This window comes from Homo sapiens, chromosome 13 (genome assembly GCF_000001405.40).
Source record: "Homo sapiens chromosome 13, GRCh38.p14 Primary Assembly".
In the NCBI taxonomy this organism is placed as follows: Eukaryota; Metazoa; Chordata; class Mammalia; order Primates; family Hominidae; genus Homo; species Homo sapiens.
Window position 1 is genome coordinate 111,225,846 of NC_000013.11, and position 18,651 is coordinate 111,244,496.

An 18,651-nucleotide genomic window follows, 5' to 3' on the forward strand; every position below is an offset into this window, starting at 1 on the left:
AACCAGTTTATAACCTTACTATGGCCTCTTAAGTGTTCAAATGAAAGGAAGAGTTGCATGTCTCTCACTTTAAATAAAAAGCTAGAAACGATTAACCTTAGTGAGGAAGGCATGTAGAAAGGTGAGACAGGCTGAAAGCTAGGCCTGTTGCACCAGTCAGTCGTGAATACAAATGAAAAGCTCTTGAAGGAAATTATAAGTGCTACTCCAGTGAACACATGAATGATAAGCAATGAAACCACCTTATTGCTGATATGGAGAAAGTTTGAGTGGTGTGGATAGAAGATCAAACCAGCCACAACATTTCCTTAAGGGCAAAGCCTAATCTCTTCAATTCTATGAAGACTGAGAGGTGAGGAAGCTGCAGAAAAAGAGTTTGAAGCTAATGGAGGTTAGTGCATGAGGTTGAAGGAAAGAAGCCGTCTCCAGAACATGATGAAAGTGCAGGGTGAAGCAGCACGTGCTGACGGAGAAGCTGCAGCAAGTCATCCAGAAGATCTAGCTGACATCATCGGTGAAGGTGGCCACACCAACAGGCTGACTCTCTGGTCTGGGGTTAATGTAGCTGGTGACTGAGTTGAAGCCAATTCTCATTTACCATTCTGAAAATCCTAGTACCCTTAAGAATTATGCTTAACCAACTTTGCCTCTCTGCGCTGTAAGTTAGAACAACAAAGCCTGGATGGTGGCACATCTGCTTGTGTCATGGTTTGCTGAATATTTTAAGCCCACTTTAGAGACCTCCCACTCAGGAAAAAAAGATTCCCTTGAGCATGTTACTGCTTATTGACAGTGTACCTAATCACCCAAGAGCTTTGAGGGAGACATACAAAGAAATTAATGTTGTTTTCATGCTGCTAACACAGCATCCATACTGCAGCTCATGGGTCAAGGATTAATTTAGATTTTTGGGTCTTAGCATTTAAGGAATACATTTTGTAAGGCCATAAATAGTGGTTCCTCTAATGGATCTAGGCAAAGTAATTTGAAAACCTTCTGGAAAGGATTTACCCCTTTAGATGCTGTTAAGAACATTTGTGATTTATGGGAGGAGGTTAAAATATCAACATCAACAGGAGTTTGGAAGACATTGATTCTAACCCTGATGGATGACCTTAGGGCCTCAGGACTTCAGTTTAGGAAGGAACTACCTGTGTGGTGGGAACAGCAAGAGAACTAAAATTGGAAGTGGAGCCTGGAGATGTGACTGAACTGCTGCAGTCTCATGAGAAAACTTGAATGGATGAAGAGTTGCTCCTTATGGCTGAGCAAAGAATGTGGTTTCTTGAAATAGAATCTACCCTTGCTGAAGTGCCGTGAACATTGTTGAAATAACAAAAGATTTAGACTGTTGCAAAAAGTTAGTTGATAAAGTGGTAGCAGGGTTTGAGAAGATTGACTCTTAATTTTGTAAGAAGTTGTATGTGTGTAAAATGCTACCAAATAGCATCTCACGCTCCAGAGAAATCTTTCATGAAAGGAAGAATCAGTTGATACTGGCACACTTCATTGTCTTGTTTCAAGAAGTGTCCATAGCCACCGCAGCCTTCTGCAGCCACTGATCAGTCAGCAGCCATCCATATCAAGGCAAGACCCTCTACAAAGAGATTACAGCTTGCTGAAGGCTCAGATGATTGTTAGCATTTTTTTAGAAACTTTTTTTTTAACTAAGGAATGTACTTTTTTTAAAGACAGTGCAATTGCAAACTTAATAGACTACAGTATAGTGTAAACATAGCTTTTATATGCAGTAGGAAACAAATTTGTGTGACTCACTGTATTGCCATGGTCTGAAACCAAGCCCTCAGCAACTTCAGGGTCTCCCTGTGTACCCCGTTTGACTTACCTTCTTCCTCCTACTTTCTTCTAGGTTTGTTCTTTGTGATTAATTTGTTCTTCTGTTGGTTTCCTCTGTTGGTGTGCTAAACGAGATGCTTTAGTCTTATTTGTATTTCAGTGACATTTGGCAGATACCTCCTGATGCCCCATTTTGTTCCGTGAAGATTCACCTTGACCCTTTTCTCTATCCTCCCACATTCTGCCTTTACTCACCTGTATCTTCCTGTTGCATTGTCAAGGTTGTTCACAGTTACACCAGTTACACTTGGCTCTAAAGCCACACCCAGCATCCATTCCCCAAATACTTACTTTGGTGAGCACTGTTGTGGAAACTGAGAAACACAGCAGTGGGAAAACCAAGAGTGTCTTCCCAGAAGTTATGAAGCACATCTGAGGTGTCCTGCACGGCACATGAGGTAAGCGTGCAGGTCTGTGCTCTCTGCTCTCTACTGGCATCCAAAAAAGAGGAGGGGGCGCTTTTATAGAATGAAAGAGACTTTAGTGGCACAGCAGCCAGATGTGCTGCGCAGACTTCATTTGGTTCCTGATTCAAATAAGCTGACATCAGAAAGCCATTGTTTTGACACACAGGAAGATCTGAATATAGACTAGGCATTAGATACTATTTAAAAATTATTAATATCGTCAGGTGTGATAATGGTCTGAGGTTAGGGTTTTGAGTTTAAAGAAGAAAAGCTCCCTTTGCTAACACTGAAGTGTTGGTGAGTGGAGATGACCTCATCTCTGAGACTTGCTGATGGTGCTTCCAGCAGAGAACACGGCGGGAGCGGATGAGGCAGGCTCGATGCTGAGGACTGCTAACACTGTTAAGAGTCTATACGTGGTCATTCTCTGTATGTTTATGTATATTTTTAAGTTTCTAAAAGTTTGGGAAAAAGTAATGGCACAATTATAACATTTTCGAACAAAGATCGAGCGTCTTAGCAGATCATCCCTTGAACAACTCGGAGGACGTCACCTGACAGGAGGGTGCATGTGGTTCAGGAAAGCGGCAGGCAGACACTGCTGAGCACGGGCAGACACACACAGACATTGACTCTGTGAACTCTGAGTGCGTGAGTAACAGCCAACAAACCACGCACAGAGCCCCAGCACAGAAGGTCGGAAGAGGACGTGGGAATTCCGAGTTTTTCAGGGCCATGTCTGCTCTGGTGGTTGAAGCCAGCGGTGATGATTAACTCTGGACTTTGCTGGGTTGGTGACACGTCACAAATGAAAGCGTAACCACTGAAACAGAGGGAAGCGGCTGGGTGGCTTCCAGTCAAGCGGAAGAGGCAAGTGAGGACTCACAGAAGTGTGTTCTTCTCAAAAGAGGCAGAAATTCCCAGCCCTGTGATGGTGGAGCTGCCTCGGAGTGGGGAGGGCATTGCACCTGGCTCCCCGGACCTGGCCCTCGCCCAGCTGTGCAGCGTTCCTGTGTGTCTTGGTGGACTCTGGTTTTGCTCGGGGCTGGCTGTGCTTCCTCAGCCCAAGGAATCCAGAGCTCTTCAGTTCCAGAAAGGATCTTCTCAAGGACTACTTCCAGCTCACTCCCTGATTTTTCTCCTGAATATCTTACTAGATGTCTTATTTTGCCCTCTGTTTTAATCCGCGTATTTTAATCTACTTTGCGTATCTGTTTGTTTCACTGTGCTGTATTATCTATTCCTCTGCCTGTCAGTTCATTAATTCCCTCCTCACGGTGATACTAACCTGTTTGTGGAGATTTCCATTTTAGTGACCATATTTATTTGTAGAAGTTTTGCTGCGCTTCAGATGTTTTCAGTCTTCATGGCGCCTTTTTTATTCGTCGTGATTGGTCCTAATTGCGTATCTCTCCTGTCATTTTAAACGACAGATTACATTAGGTCTTGATTTTCCTCTTATTTCTACTTTGGGGAACCTGGTCCCTTTATATGCCACATCCACTCACACCCTCCTGGTAGCTCAGTACCTTCTGTGGCTGATACTGTTTAATGGTGGGCTTATTCCTGATGGTGGGTTCCTGTGTACCCTGGGTTGTAGAAATATTTCTACAGAGAGGAGTAACATTTGCTTCTTAGGGGTTCCCGGAGACTTTTTTGTCCCAGGCAGGTACTGGTAGTCCTGCAAGAGGAGAGCATAGGTTGGAGTGGTCCTGCTAAGCAGGTGCGGGCTCTGGGTTTTGGTTTCTTCTAGGCTGTGCCCCCGTCTGTGAGCAGCCTGCACACTTCCTTGCTATTTCTCTAGACCAGTGCATAGAAGCTTCCAGACATCTTTGCATCAGCTGTGCGGGTTACTAAGGGATCCAGTTTTATTTGCTTGGGTTGGAGCAGGTCTGTTTTCTTCCTGCGTTGGGTGTAGCCCCAGCTGCTGGAGCCTGGAGACAGGTGTGTCTCCCCTCCCCTAGTGAGAGGGTTTCCTCTTTGCTTTTGGCATGTCATCCCCTCTTTTTCTTTTACACGTCTATATTTAAATTTTCTTGTTTTCAGCATTTTTCGAGTTTATTTTAAGAAAGGGAAGACTTGCTGCCCCAGTCAGCCCTTGGAAAGGTAGCACTAAGCTACATTCTCTTGGTTCCCCACTCCTCAATACCAGTGAATTTTATTAATTTTTAGCTACCAGATGGGCCAAAAAATGCTGCTTTTCTTAGGATAGTAGGGCAGTTGAGTATTTTCTAATCTATTTCCTGGCTGTGTGCTTTTCTGTCTGTTACGAATGGCCGTAATTTAGCCTCTTTTAATTTCAATGCTGTTTTTTGGTAGAAGCTACTAGAAGGCTTCCTAGGCTGCCCGGGAGTTACCTGTGCCCCTGCTGCCCCGCACCCCTCCTGTTGATGGCACATTTCTTCTGGCGTGACCGCCCCAGGAGCCTGGACAGTGGTGGGGCAAGCAAGGAGCTTTGCATCAGAAGCCAGGAGTGGCCTTGCTGGGGTCTGGCAGCCAGGGGCTTCCTGTCTCCCCTGCAGGGTCTCCTGACAGCAGACCCACCTTGGGCGTTTGTGGAAATTACGCTTCCTGATTGGAAGCAAGGGCACGTTGTGGGTGGCACACTTCAGCAGTGCCCTCTTGTTGAAAACGAACCACAGGGTGTTCTGGGGAACGTGATCTTGACACCTTCCATTCAGCAGCCAGCAGAATTGGGAGCTCTTTTTTCCTAGGGGAGAAAAGGCAACCTGCCTGGACTTAATCTGATTTGACTGGGTTTCTTCTGCCTGTTTTTTATTTTTATGTAATGTTAGTAACCTGAAGCTTTTTCTTTTGAAAACTTTTTTCTTACAGTTCTTATAGTAAATTAATTGAATTTTATTAACTGTGGTGTTGAGTTGTGAGGTATGTCTTAAGTTTAAAATAACACAGCTGGCAAAATCATTACTTTTAAAATAATGCAGATTCAGGGTCACTGTTACGAAGTTCACTTCACCGGCACACATGCTGACGTGCGGCTTATGATCGCAGTGGCTGTGATTGAGGTGTGGACAGTCTCCCCTGCAATGTTGTTTTCTATCCTGCCTCCAAATTGTAGATTTCAAAGATGAAAAAGTGTTGTTTTTCCTCAGATGAAAACATTTCATAGTGTTTTCTTCTACAATTAAATTCTTAGCTGTAGAAAAGAGATTGAGTAGGTAAGTGTGCTAGCAAGAATAGATTGGTTTTCCTCCTTGTAGCTCTTACAGTGTAGAAGGGATTTGTTTCCTGTGGAGTTTTGTTTTCCATCCTGTGGGCAGAGAGAATTCTTGCAACTTGCAGCGGCACCTTATTTTGTTGTTTTCAACCACCTGGAAGTACTTAACAGTGAGGCATTGAAGGAAGATTTAGAAACTTGACAGTGAGGCATTGAAGGAAGGTTGAGGTAAACGGCTCCACAGGAGGAGGATCCAAAGTTAAGGAGCATGAGGTTGGTTCGGGGCATTCTGGGTTTCTGTTGCCAGAAGATGGTGCAGATCCTGAGGAGGCAGTTGACGTTAGGGACCTGAAGCCTTAGAGTGTTTGGGGTTGAAGGCACTGTTTTGGGATATACTACCTCAGACCCCAGGACACTGAGATTGTGGATGGGGGACGCATGGGAGGAGAGGAGAGCAGAAGGCATGGACTGTAGGCAGGTGCTGCTCACACACCAGAGGGGAGGAGTGTGTTCCCGCCCAGTGAGGGGGTTCACATGGCAGGATTCTTGCAGTGGAGGTGAGCTTTGAGGGAAAACTGGTAGGGACTAAGTCCTCTAGGAAATGCTCATCAGAATTTCTTGGGGAAGAATGTGGGAAAAAACCTCTCCCTTTCCTTTGTCCCCACTAGCCCCAATTTGATACACTGCTCTGTAGCCCTGGAAAACCAGTGGTAAACAGAATCCGTAGAACCAATGTTAGATATACAGAACCAATGTTAGATGTACAGAACGTAGAATCAATGTTAGACCTATCTGCCCACCCCCTAGAACTGTTGGTAGATCTACCCCATGGAACTATGATATACACACAACCATTGATAGACCCACCCTATAGAATTGTGATAGACACACCCTATCCATCTAACCATTAATAGAAATACACACATACCCATAAAACCATTGAGAGACAGAGGGACCCACCCCATAGAACCAGTGATGGACGCCATACACTGTCTGCAGAACTAATGGTAAAGACACAGACACTGTCTGTAGAACTGATAATAGACACACACCACCCCATAGAACTATGGAGAGACAGACCCACCCGCACAGCCAGCGATGGACACACCCACACTGTCCATAGAACCAGTGATAGAGACCCCCTCCCGTAGAACCATTGGTAGACAGGCCCACCCCATAGAGCTGATGACGGGCATGCATGGTGCCAGGTTTTGTTTGGCAGGTGTTTCTTCGGCAGGTGTTTCTTCAGCACCTGTTATGCAGAGTAAGTGTGTGTTGAATGGATGTGGAGTGAAAGCGGTGCTGTTTTAAAACATCAGAATCCTTGCTGGAGTCAGGACTGCTTTAATGGTTTTGCCTGGTGTGGAAGTGAAGGCGGTGTGGGTTTTTCTTGTTTTTGCCCCTGCTTGAGATGACTTTTCTTTCTCCTCCTTGTCTCCTGTGAGTGATGGTTATTTCAAGCCCTGAGCCAGATCTTGCTTGTTTAGAGAGACTTTTCCATTCTGAGGGATCTGAGTCCCTAACTTTTAGCCCTGATGTTTTAATATTGTTATGTATCTGCCAAAATGCCTTTTATTTGGGTGACGCTTTATATTTACCACACTATGGAATTGTCCTTGTAGCTAAACTGCTTTGGTTTTGGCTGGCATTCGTGGAGCAGTCTCTTAGACGCCTTCAACTTGAAACTGGGAGAACAGGGTGGGGATGGGGTGCTGTGATTGGCCTTGGTGAGCCGAGCCTGAGGGACTGGGTTTCTGGGGCACTGAGGGTCACTGTGGATGGCCTTTTCCTTGGCTTGCCATTTGGCTTGTTAATTCAGTGAGGCTGCTGGATGAGTATCCTTGGCCTGTGTGAGGGGCTGGAACTTTTGTCATCTTTAGTACTGATCAGTAAAACTATGTTACATTTTCATTTCAGAGAAGCCTGTGTCTCCCAAATCAGGAACACTGAAGAGCCCTCCCAAAGGATTTGATACGACTGCCATAAACAAAAGCTATTACAATGTGGTGAGTAATTGCAGAACATTTTTAAACTAACTGGTTTTTGACTGCCTGTAAAACTCAGCAATGTAGAATGTAGTGTAAAGTACCTAGAATAGGAAGAAGGAAATAAAGTTCATTCATCTGCCACACAAATGTAACCACCATTAAGGTTTTGGTCTGTTTCCTTCTAATCTCTGTATTTTTGTAATTGTATGTTTTTGTTTTAATATCATGTATATGGAAATGTCCCTTGCTCTTGTCCCGTAACATAGTAATGTGCGTGTTTCCCCATGCCATAGCCAGTCTTCAAAAATGATATTTGAAAAAATGTATAATGTGATTTGAAAATTTTATATGCATTGAGTGCCATTCTGTTTGTATTCAGAGTAGACTGTAAGTACTTTAGACATAAGGCTTCTAATTTATTTTTTCTCTTAATATAGTGTTTCCCAGGATTGATGTGTACATATCACATGGCGTAGAATTAGGGGAGCATGTCTAAACGCTATACGTGTTAAAGACAGGTGTTTCTGGATCCTAAAATTTGCTGCTTAATATGTTCAGTATGTGATACTAAATCTGTGTAGTCTAATGCTATTAAATCAAATGTATAGTCTCATGGTACTAAATCTGTGTCGTCTAAACCTTCTTTGTACCTAAGCTTATGTAGCAATTGCATGTTCTATAGAAATGGAAAATAATTTATTTTAAAGAATTTATTAAAATTTTAAACCACTCAACATGATAACAACAAAGTAAACCCTCTAAACATGTGTATGTTTTGAATTCTGGGGAAAATGCGCATTTGTTTTGTTATTTCTTCCCCTACTCCCAATCTTCATTTTCTTCTTGAGTAGATATAACTATGAACCCACGAGACCTTTGAATTGTTGGTGTGAAACAGCAGTTGATTGGTGTTTTTGTGCAGCAGTCATTTTCTTGTGAGCATTTCATTTTCTGCACCTGTGTTGGGAAACGGTGAAAAGGTGTGGTGCAATGGAGTCTGAGCAGCTCCACCACGTGGAGCTGTGCCACCGTCTTGTGCTGCGGGGCTTGCACTCTCAGCTTCCTCCTGAGTGCCCACCTTCCATCTGCCCCAGCATCGTACTGCAGGACAGACTGGCCTGGGGACCCACTCATTAATAACTGTTTATTGGGCGCCTGCTCTGTGCAGCTCTGTTAAAGGCACCAGGATGCACAGTGAACAGAATGGCGGGTGCCTCTCCCCTCGCTGAGCTCGCACTTGGGTACGGGAACACAATGGTCTTTTGTTGCCTCCATTTTTACTGCTTCTTTTTCATAATTTGACATCTGTGCACCTTCTTGTGAGCAGGTCTCCTCATGCATCATGCCACTTCTCTTACATTAGTGGCAATCTTTGACTTATTTTTCCTTGTATTTGGTCAACTCCGGATCCTTTTCTGCCTTGGAAACCCTTTTCTTTTGCTTCCCCTCTTTCTTCCCTTTTTTTCATTCATCTTCATTTGGCTGCTTGGACTCTGCCTTCCATCTCAACTTTGTGGACTTTGAGAAGATCAGACTCCTTTTAGCGCGTCGTGTGGCCCACATTACCCGAGACACCTGCTTTCTGTCATCTCTCCTAGTGCTCTGCATCGCCTTCATCCCTTGGCCTGTTGGGCATTTACTCCCAGGATTTGGCTCTACTAACCCATTCGCTTTTTAGTGTGTAATGTAGCTTATGTGTAGTTTTGTGTACGTAGCTACAGAGACAGTAGATGGGTTTTATGGGTTGTAGGAAAACTTGAGTTTTAACTCCTGGAGCTGCCCTTTCCTCTTGCATTCTTGTATAAGACACTGCTTTTTTGGGGAAGGCTTCATGTGGTGAATAACACAGCCACAATCCACAGTGAGATTCCAAAGGGTGTGTTACCTTCTGTTATGGTTCAGGTCCAGATAATTCTGTTAGAAAAAGTGGTCAGCAGTGTTTAAATTGGTGCCAAGGGCATTCTTTAGTTTCTCCATTAATCTTGCTTTCATTAGGCACTTTATAAAACCAGGCAACCATGCTTTTTTAGAAATCCTGGTGGGTTTTTCTTTGCATTATATATTCTGTAATACTTCTCAGATTGAAGCATAGTCGATACCTTTTTCGTTTTCCTTCTCTAACTGTCCTTTTACAGAGAGAATAGCCTGGGTATTATAAGTGCTCTTTTCTTCAAATCAGCCAACTCTTTCATACAGAATGATGGAAAACACCTTGACCTCAAAATCACATCTAAATTGTTTTCTATATAAAGCTGCATTTATAAATAGCACATGGTAAAATTACAGTTGTTATAGAAATAAACTCATAGAATTCATAGAGAATTGTCTTTTGATGTAGTACTCTCATTTTACAGCAGAGAAAACAGAAGCTAAATGCCTTGTCCAAGGTTATACACTGGTTACTAAGCCAGGAATCAATTTCAGCTTTCCTTAATTTTATATTTGTAAATTGTACATAAAAATAGAGAACAGAATACAACACAGAACAAAACATGATAGATAATGTGTTAGGCATTTCTACACCCCCTTTTGTAGTTTCGTTTTCACAGAAAACTATAAGGTCTGGGTGTTTTTAACCTCACTGAAAGTTGAAAACTTACTAAAGGGTAAGACTGGTGTGGACCAATGGTGTTAAGGAAATTTACATGAATGACTTGTCTTAACTTGGGATCAGTATAATGGAGTTGAGAGAAGAGTATTCCATGCGAAAGTACCAACATTTTGAAATTAAGAGACAATGAGACAGGTATGAATGGGATGGATATGTGTTTTCCTGCTATTGTATAATAGTTAAGATGAACACCAAAAAGACACTGGAAAGTAAAACTCGTAGTAATTTATGTCTGTTATTATGAACCATTCAGTAACTATTTCTCTCTCCTCTCCTTCTGGGACTCCTGTGGTGCAATTAGTCAAATATAGACAATATTTGAGCCATTGTCTTCATACTGTCCTTTAATTTTTTAAACATAGTTTCCTTTAGTTCTTTGGACATATTTATAACAGCTGCTTTGAAACCTTTATCTCCTAAGTCCACTATCTGTGCCCCCTAGAGACAGTTTCCATTGACTGCTTCTTTTTTTCTTGTGTGCGTGTGTGTGTGGTCACACTTTCTTGCATGTCCTATGATTTTTTAAATTGAAAACTGGATATCTTAGACCTATTTTAGCAGCTCTGGATGCTTGAAATCCACCTCCCCTGGGTTATACTGTTGCTGTTGCTGTGTCTTGCTCAGTGACTCACCTAGAGCACTTCTGTAGTTTATCTTCCCATAGTCACTGATGTCTATTTTTATTTTTTTATTCTTGTTTTTATTTTTAATTCTGTCTTTCTAGGATTCACTTTTGGGTAGCATAATTTAGTATTCAGCCAAAGATTCACCAAAGATTGTGCTTAAACACCTTTAACAGTTCAGGTATTACGGCTCACACCTGTAATCCCAACACTTTGGGAGGCCTAGTAGGGAGGATTGCTTGAGGCTAGGAGTTTGACACCAGCCTGGGCAGCATAACAAGACCATGTCTCTAGAAAAAACCAAAATTACCTGGGCTGGGTGGCAAATGCCTGTAGTCTTAGCTACTCGGGAGGCTGAGGTGGGAGGATTGCTTGAGCCCTGGAGTTTGAGGCTGCAGTAAGCTATGATTGCACCACTGCACTTCCAGCCTGAGCTACAGAACAAGATTGTGTCCCTAAAAAACCAAAAAACACCTCTGACGGTGAGGTTTCACTCTTGCCAGTGATCTGTATGGGGTTGGGGAATGCATTCAAAGAGAGGGCTGGGGAGGAGCATGACTTTTTAAAAGTTAAAGGCAGTGGATGAAATGACAAAGGAAAAGATAAATCTTTTAGGCTACCTAATGAGAGTTTAATATATTCCTTGCCTCAAACAGTATAAGCCAGATCACAAGTTAATTGGAATGTTATTTGCATCAGGTATAATACAAGGTTATCCTTAATGTCTGAAGAGCTCATTAAGACAAATACATGAAGATTAATAGACAAATGGGAAAGGTTGTGAACAATTTAAAAAATGGTAAACACTAAGGCTTTGAAAAAAAATAGTTAAACTCACCATAAAAATTTTAATAGGCATATTTTCTGTAATCAGTGAGCAGAGATTTAAAGAGAGAATCTTTAGTTCTAATGGTGGAAATGTAAATCCATACAGAGTTTCTCAAAAGTAATATGGCAGTTATATATAGAATTCTGGAAGTGATCAAGTTCTTTAATTTAGGGCTTTCTCTTTAATTTCTAAATTTCTTGAAATCCATTCCAGAGAATTAACCTGAAATATATTCAAAGATGCTTGTGTAAAGGCATTTTCAGAGGATTATTTGTTATAGTAATAAATTGCAAGCAACCCAAAATAAACAGTATGAGATGAACAGTACCAGAATGATTAAGCGATCAGTGGTTTGTCCATTTGTAGTTACTAAAGTGTACATGAGGCTTTAAAAATACAAAAAACATATATTTTCATGTTAAGTGCAATAACAGAATATGAAATTACACAGGTGATATGATCTCATGGTATTACAAAGTTGACATAGAAGATAGAAGACATTGTGCTAGAGAATGGTTTCTTTCCAGTGGAGGAATTTTAGCTTCCCACTAATGTAAGGGATAGTGATTATGGGGGAAGTCTTTGGCACCACAGTCCAGAATGTGTTGGAGATAGAAACGGGCCTCTGAGGCTAGGGAGGAAGCCAGCGTGGAACATGGCAGGCACACAGGCCTTGGGCTTGGAGAGTGACGGGGAAGGGAGAGGAAATCAAGATCTCTTAAATGCAGATCTTTTAATTTCAATTAGTTTTTGTGACACAGCCAGCCACTACTCTTGCCTCTATTTTCTCATGTACGTACTGTTTGAAATCAGTCTGTTAGCTGTGCTTAGGGTGCCCTTGTTGTGTAGGTAGTTCAGATAATTAAGATCCGGGCGGCTTGATGCAGTGGAAGGTGTACAGCCTTTTTGTTGAATCGTCCATGCTGCTTAGCCTGGGTGGCCAGGAGCTTTGGCCCTAGCTTCCTGAGCCCAGTTATCTCATTTGTAAAATGAGATTGGTAATGCTGGCCCTGACCTGGTAGTATTAAGTGGACTGGCAACTGGCCTTAAGGCCTCCAGCAAAGTGCTGGACCTTAGAGGTTTTTGTGTGTATTAAGAAGAGTATTTAAGAGCATTGGGAACAGAAGGCATCACTGAGGCCACCATACCATTCTGTTTGTAAACTGGAATCCCCGTAGATTTTGAGGGTGACCTGTGAAAGCTGTAGCCAAGGTGGCCTGATCATATAATTAAAAGAGACAGGTTTGTGACCTGATGTGCCCGAGCTTGGTGGATTTGACAGTGAAAGCACACTCGTTGCCCCCATGGCATGGTGACTGGCATCTTTCCTGATGGGGATCAAAGGAAGGGGTTGGATGCCTAGGCTGGAGAGAATGATGGTCTGGAGTTGCCTCTCGGGGGGATGAGGAGCACCCCGCTCCGTCATTAGAGAATGAGGTTTCTTAAGTCGCTGACTGGGAAGACACAGTCCTTATGGCCTTCCCTGCTCAGCGATATACACTATGGTTTGATTTTTTAGGCTTTCTGTATTAGTCCGTTCTCACGCTGCTGTGAAGAAATACCCGAGACTGGGCAATTTATAAAGAAAAGAGGTTTAATTGACTCAGAGTTCCGCATGGCTGGGGAGGCTTCAGGAAACTTACAGTCATGGCGGAAGGCACCTCTTCACGAAGCAGTGGGAGAGAGAATGAGTGCCAACAGGGGAAATGCCAGATGCTTATAAAACCATCAGATCTTGTGAGAACTCACCATGAGAACAGCATAGGGGAACGCGCTGCGTGCCCCTGCTCCCCCACACCCCCGTGCCATGATTCAGTTACCTCCACCCTGTCCCGCCCTTGACACATGGGGATTATTACAATTCAGGGTGAGATTTGGGTGGGCCATAGAGCCAAACCATATCACTTTCCCTGTTATTTAGAGCATTATTATAATACTGTGAATATAATGTAATAGGTAGCATCACTCTTTCTAATCTGTAAGTGTATAAAACGGTTATGTATCCTTAGATGCCATCACACACATCCACGGGCCTTTCCTGTGCTCCAGAGAAGCCGCACACCTGTCTTTTCCTCCCTGCTCCTTTAGTTTGCGATGGCCTTCAGATGCCAGGCCAAGGAGGAAAACCTGAGCCTCCTGGTGACAGGGTGTCTTCGGTCTCCATCCATCAGCAGTGACCCTAAACCCTGGCGTTGCTTCGTCTCTTCATCTTCTGCTTTGCCCTTGGCTTTTCTCCACCTCAATGAAGATTTCTGTTAAATCTTTTGACTCCTGAAGTCTCTGCTTGGGGCCCGTAGGTGGAGATGGTTAATGATGAGGGGCCCTGAGGTATCAGGGAGGGTGTGCAGCTTGTGGGATCCCCTCTTTTCCTGGGCGGCGAGGTGCCTGCTGGCTTCTTTCACACCTGGCTCCCATTGTTTTTCATGGGATTTCCTTGCTGTATCTGGACTAAGATGATACAGATGAAGGTTGTCAGGTAGGCACTAGTGGAATGCTGACACGGAGAGGAGCTCAGTGTTTGGGAGGATTGAGTGACTTAATTGCAAGAAAGGCTGTCTTGTGAAATAATTACCTCCTGACTGAAGGAGTCATTTAAGAAGCAGCTCCAAGTAAGACTCTACATTGGGCTGGAAGGTCGAAGGGTGACTGGCTAGATGCCTTCCTACTATAAGCCAATGACTGGCACTCTTGAGTAACCATTATAACCTCGTAAAACCCCTTTTTGTGAAAAAGGGAAACAGACCGATAGACTTGTCCAGCTGCAGACAGTCAGTGGTGGAGCGCAGCTGGGAGCCCAGGTCCACGTGGCTGCAGAGGCCGGCTCTACCTGTCGCCATGCTGCTGTGCAGGTGCCATTGGTGGTGTCTGCTTCCCCCTGTGTGCTGGAGGCTTTGCAGGAGCCATTGCCTATAAACCTTTAACATTTAGGAGAAACGTACCCCAAGACCTGTGAATCTCCAAATTTAAAAGTAATAGAATAACATTTATTTCAAAAGATACAGCATCATAAAAGCATTTATGTGGTCTCTCCAAACTTTTTTTGAGAACTAACGTTCCGAGGTATTGGTAAGGACCAGCAGTGCTAACACACCACATTAAATCAGCAACCGTGTGGTCGGGGAGCCACTGACTGCCTCATGTCATTGTGACCCGTAGAGGAGCCAGCAGGAGCTTCTGGGATTTCTTGTCAACACTCCTTCCTCCTCCTCCTCCTCCTTTCCGTGGAGTCAGATGTTTATTACAGGCCACATTGTGTGGTGAACTACTGTCTTGTAATGTACTTTTTGAAAATTTACTTGAAGTGTAAATAGACTGGAATGGAGAACATTAAATGATGATCTTGTTTCTCTGTAGCAGTGGACAGGGAAGGGCTGATTAGGTAGGGTGGAGGTAGATTTGGAATAATTGTGCCACTTTTTGGTTTTTCTTCTTGGACTTATACATTAGGATTGGGATATGGAAATACAGTTGTATGATGATAAAAATCTTTTATACAGATGAAACAAAAAAAATTAATGTTCTTTGTTCTCTTATGTAAATCAGTTATTTGTTTTTAAAGGCTGTTGATGACATAAACATATAAAACACCTACCGAGATTGGCAGTGGAAGTTGTAACCCATTTGTAAAATCAGAAATGCTAAGTACTCCTTTAATGATGCAACGAATAAAGTGTCTGTGTCTGCGAGGCACAGCAGTGAGTCCTCTTTGTTTTGCTGTGCTCTGAGGCGGGCAGCATAGGGATTGAGTGGCACCAGTGTTTGACTGCACTTGCCTCTCCATGCCTCGTGACCCCCGGGAAGCTGGCACTGGCTGAGCTCAGCTCTGTGGGCCTTTCTTCAGCACTGTGGGTCGTAAAAGCTGCCTTTTCTTTGAAAACTGCCTGCGTCCTCTGGGTTCCCAGCGTTGGTGGGATGGAGCTGTGGCGTCCAGGCTGTGAGGTCTCATGGGGTCCTGCAGCAGCCAGAGCGTGCAGAAGACGAGGAGGGGAAGAAAGGTGGTAAGTGGCACCCCCGGCTGCGCCCCGAGGTCAGGAAGGCCAGCAACCTCCTGGCAGAGGGAGTGGGCACCCCAGCTGGAGTCAGGGAGCCAGGCCTGGCTGTGTGTTTGAGGAAAAGTTAAGTGTAACTTGCATTGTTTGGTTGGGAGTAATACAGGAATTGTGTTTAGCACCCTATTTGAAAATAGTGTTTAAGACTATTTGTTGAATTAACCAACTTAACTATTTTAACAAATGTAGCTTTTTGGCAGAGGGCTCTTTCAAGTAGTTTTTGGTGCTTATGGGAAGCTTTCATTTCTACAACCAGCGCTTAGTGCTGTGACGGACAAAAGGTCATTGTATTTTATTCTTCTCATATTCGTGCTAGTGATAGTTTCTAGTGGCTGCTTTCTTATCTCACATAGGAACATTTTTCTGTTTGAAAATAAGTATATAGGTCTTCAGGTGTGCAGTGAGCAGTATTGGTAAGTTGGTATCCAATATTTGTAATTAGGAAGCTAAATCATATTTCCTATCTTTAACATTGAAAAGGACTTTTCTGATACGTCTGTGACAGATCTTATTTCATCTTATTTAGCTCAAGATCTCATTATGCTTGGCTGGCTTCCCCTGTTGTTCTGGAGGACAGGCCTGGTTTCGAGTAGCGTCTCTGGGGTGTGGTGGCTGGCATCACGGTTTACCTCTGCTCACCAGACCTTTGACATTTGTGTTCGACGGGAATTTCGTAGAAGGAAGACATTGTGGTTGTGGGGTCAGCATTTCCCATGAAGAGCCAGCTCCCTGCAGGGCCCCTCGCTCTGGCTCTCCCACGGTCGTCTCCCTTGAATAGATCCCTTCAGGGATGAGCCTGAGTTCCTTGTCACCAGTGGAAGAGCCTCTGTTTTTTTTCGCCCAAGTAGTTTAGTAAGTGATTTAATCAGATTTGCATTTACTCAGGAATGACTGTATTCCTTTCTCAGAGTTTACAGTCAACAGTAGGCAAACAGAGTAACGACCCGGGTTGTCTTTACTAAGGCTGAAATTTAAATTTAACTTGATGACTTTTTTCTTAAATGTTTAAATTTACATTTGGATTATCAAAAATGATGGGGACAGACTGAGCATGTTTAATATCTTTATTACTTCTGTACAATTTCTTTTGTATGAATAAGTGAGAATGTATTGTTAGCTCTGGGAGACAAATAGCACATCTTGATGCATGTACTAGATGCGCAGAAAATACGTGTAATGTGATTTCCTGATTTAAAAAGCACTAGCTCTGTAACAGACTCGGGTGAAAAAGAATGGAGGCAGGGATTCCACTTTCTTCACTTACGTCAGGTCCTTCAGGATCCTCAGCGTGCTCCTCAGTCTCATGCCAAAGAAGACAGTGTGGTGCGGTGCAGTGGCAGGAGGACCTGGGGCCGCTGTCTGGCTCTGCTTTTCTCAGCTGTTTGAGTTGGGAGAAGTCAGCTTCTCTAAGAGGAAAAGTTTTGTGTGCAGAGCCCCTTGCTCGGTGCCAGGAGTGCGAGGAGCACCTGCAGTTCACATCCAGGTGCCTTCTCGTCCCACCCTGGGCTGGGCCTTTGCTGCAGTGATAGCTGGTGGAAAGCATTCCTACTTGGTTTCATCAGTTTTGCACTTTATATTTATCTGTCAGTTTTTAAGACTTAAATTATTTTGGCTAAATTTGCTACACTAGTACAGGGTATTGGGAAACATTTTAATTTTAAGGTTAATTTATAATTATTCTGCTATCTTTAAATGAAGTAGTAAAGATTGTTAACATTGATAAACCTTTAGTTTTTAATAAATGTGGTAATAAGGTGTCTGAGACTGTCATATTCACTAGGGAAAGTCTGTAGTTCCCAGAAATTGATTTCAATTTTTAGATGCAATCTAAAGAGTAAACTGTTTTTTTAGTTGAGAGTAATATTACATATGTTAAAATACATAGATTTCAAAGGCACAGTCCAGTGAGCTTTTACAATGTATATATCTGTTGTAACCGCTACCCAAATCAAAATACAGAACCTATGTATCACCTTAGACATTTACGTCATTCTCCTTTCCTTGTTGTCCACGCCCCCATCCTACCCTTCACCTCTTCTCTGATTTCTGTCACCATAGATTAGTTTTGTCATCTCTTAGACTTAATACAAATGGGATGATGCAGGATGTCCTTTTGGGAATGGCTTCTTTTGCACCACACAGTGTCGTAGAGATTGATCTGTTTGTCCATGCAGTTGTGATTCTTGGCGGCTTCTCCTTTTTATCTAAACAGACATGGCATCTGATGATGGAATTCATGCTAGGTATACCTGTCAGATACGGTTGGCAGTAAGATAAAGTCAGTTGTATGGCCTTAGTAATAATTCATTACATGGGTTTAACAGTCAATAATTGCAAAGAATGATGATGATACTCAACACTTTAGTATTACATAGAAGTAACAGTGTGAATTGAACAATGGCGATGAACTGTCCAAAGTGTATAAATCTTAGTGTCAAATAGCAATTGAAATGTCAAATAACACTTATTCATCATTTATTATAGGTGCTACAGAATATTTTAGAAACAGAAAATGAATATTCTAAAGAACTTCAGACTGTGCTTTCAACGTACCTACGGCCATTGCAGACCAGTGAGAAGTAAGTTAGATGATAAATTGCATTAACTGTAAAATAGTCTAAACCTTAGGCTGTTCTCTTCTATTTTCAGAGAATAGAGGGTTAAATAGTGAAACAAAATTTAGTGTACCAGTTTGCCTTAGACATCAGCTGTTTATTAGGTTAAGACTTCAATAGGACATTGGGATGGCAAAGGAGAAGAATATAAATAAAACTGTTTACATATGTTTACTGTTATTTTTCTTGGCTCTAGGTTAAGTTCAGCAAACATTTCATATTTAATGGGAAATCTAGAAGAAATATGTTCTTTCCAGCAAATGCTCGTACAGTCTTTAGAAGAATGCACCAAGTAAGTAAGATGCTAAAAATTTGCAACACTCAGGTTGGTATAATTGGTATTTAAAGGATTAAGTGTGAAGTAATTTTAGAATTCACATTTCTAAAGATGCAAACTTAAGTTATTTTAAATCTTTTGGGTAAATCAGCTTTTACAGTAAAAGCTGTATTTTAGACTGTCTAGTTTGTATAGCAGGAATCTTCAGAGAAAGACT

General features: G+C 42.6%; 1 protein-coding gene across 60 annotated transcripts in view; it reads left to right on the top strand.

The window, feature by feature from the left end:
- The window catches only part of ARHGEF7 (Rho guanine nucleotide exchange factor 7), a 191,116-nt gene that overhangs the window by 111,227 nt on the left and 61,238 nt on the right, over positions 1–18,651 (top strand). For 56 of the 60 annotated variants that reach the window (XR_007063704.1, XM_047430722.1, XM_006719956.4 and 53 more), the window contains 3 exons: positions 7,360–7,448; positions 18,027–18,121; positions 18,354–18,449. Coding sequence is in view for 59 of the 60 variants with exons in the window: in XM_047430722.1 (XP_047286678.1) it covers positions 7,360–7,448; positions 18,027–18,121; positions 18,354–18,449 (280 nt within the window). In the remaining variant the exon portion in view is untranslated. Of the gene's footprint in view, positions 1–7,359; positions 7,449–15,328; positions 15,492–18,026; positions 18,122–18,353; positions 18,450–18,651 lie in introns of those variants that run through there. The other 4 variants (NM_001354055.2, NM_001354061.2, NM_001320854.2 and 1 more) reach the window with 2 other exon arrangements.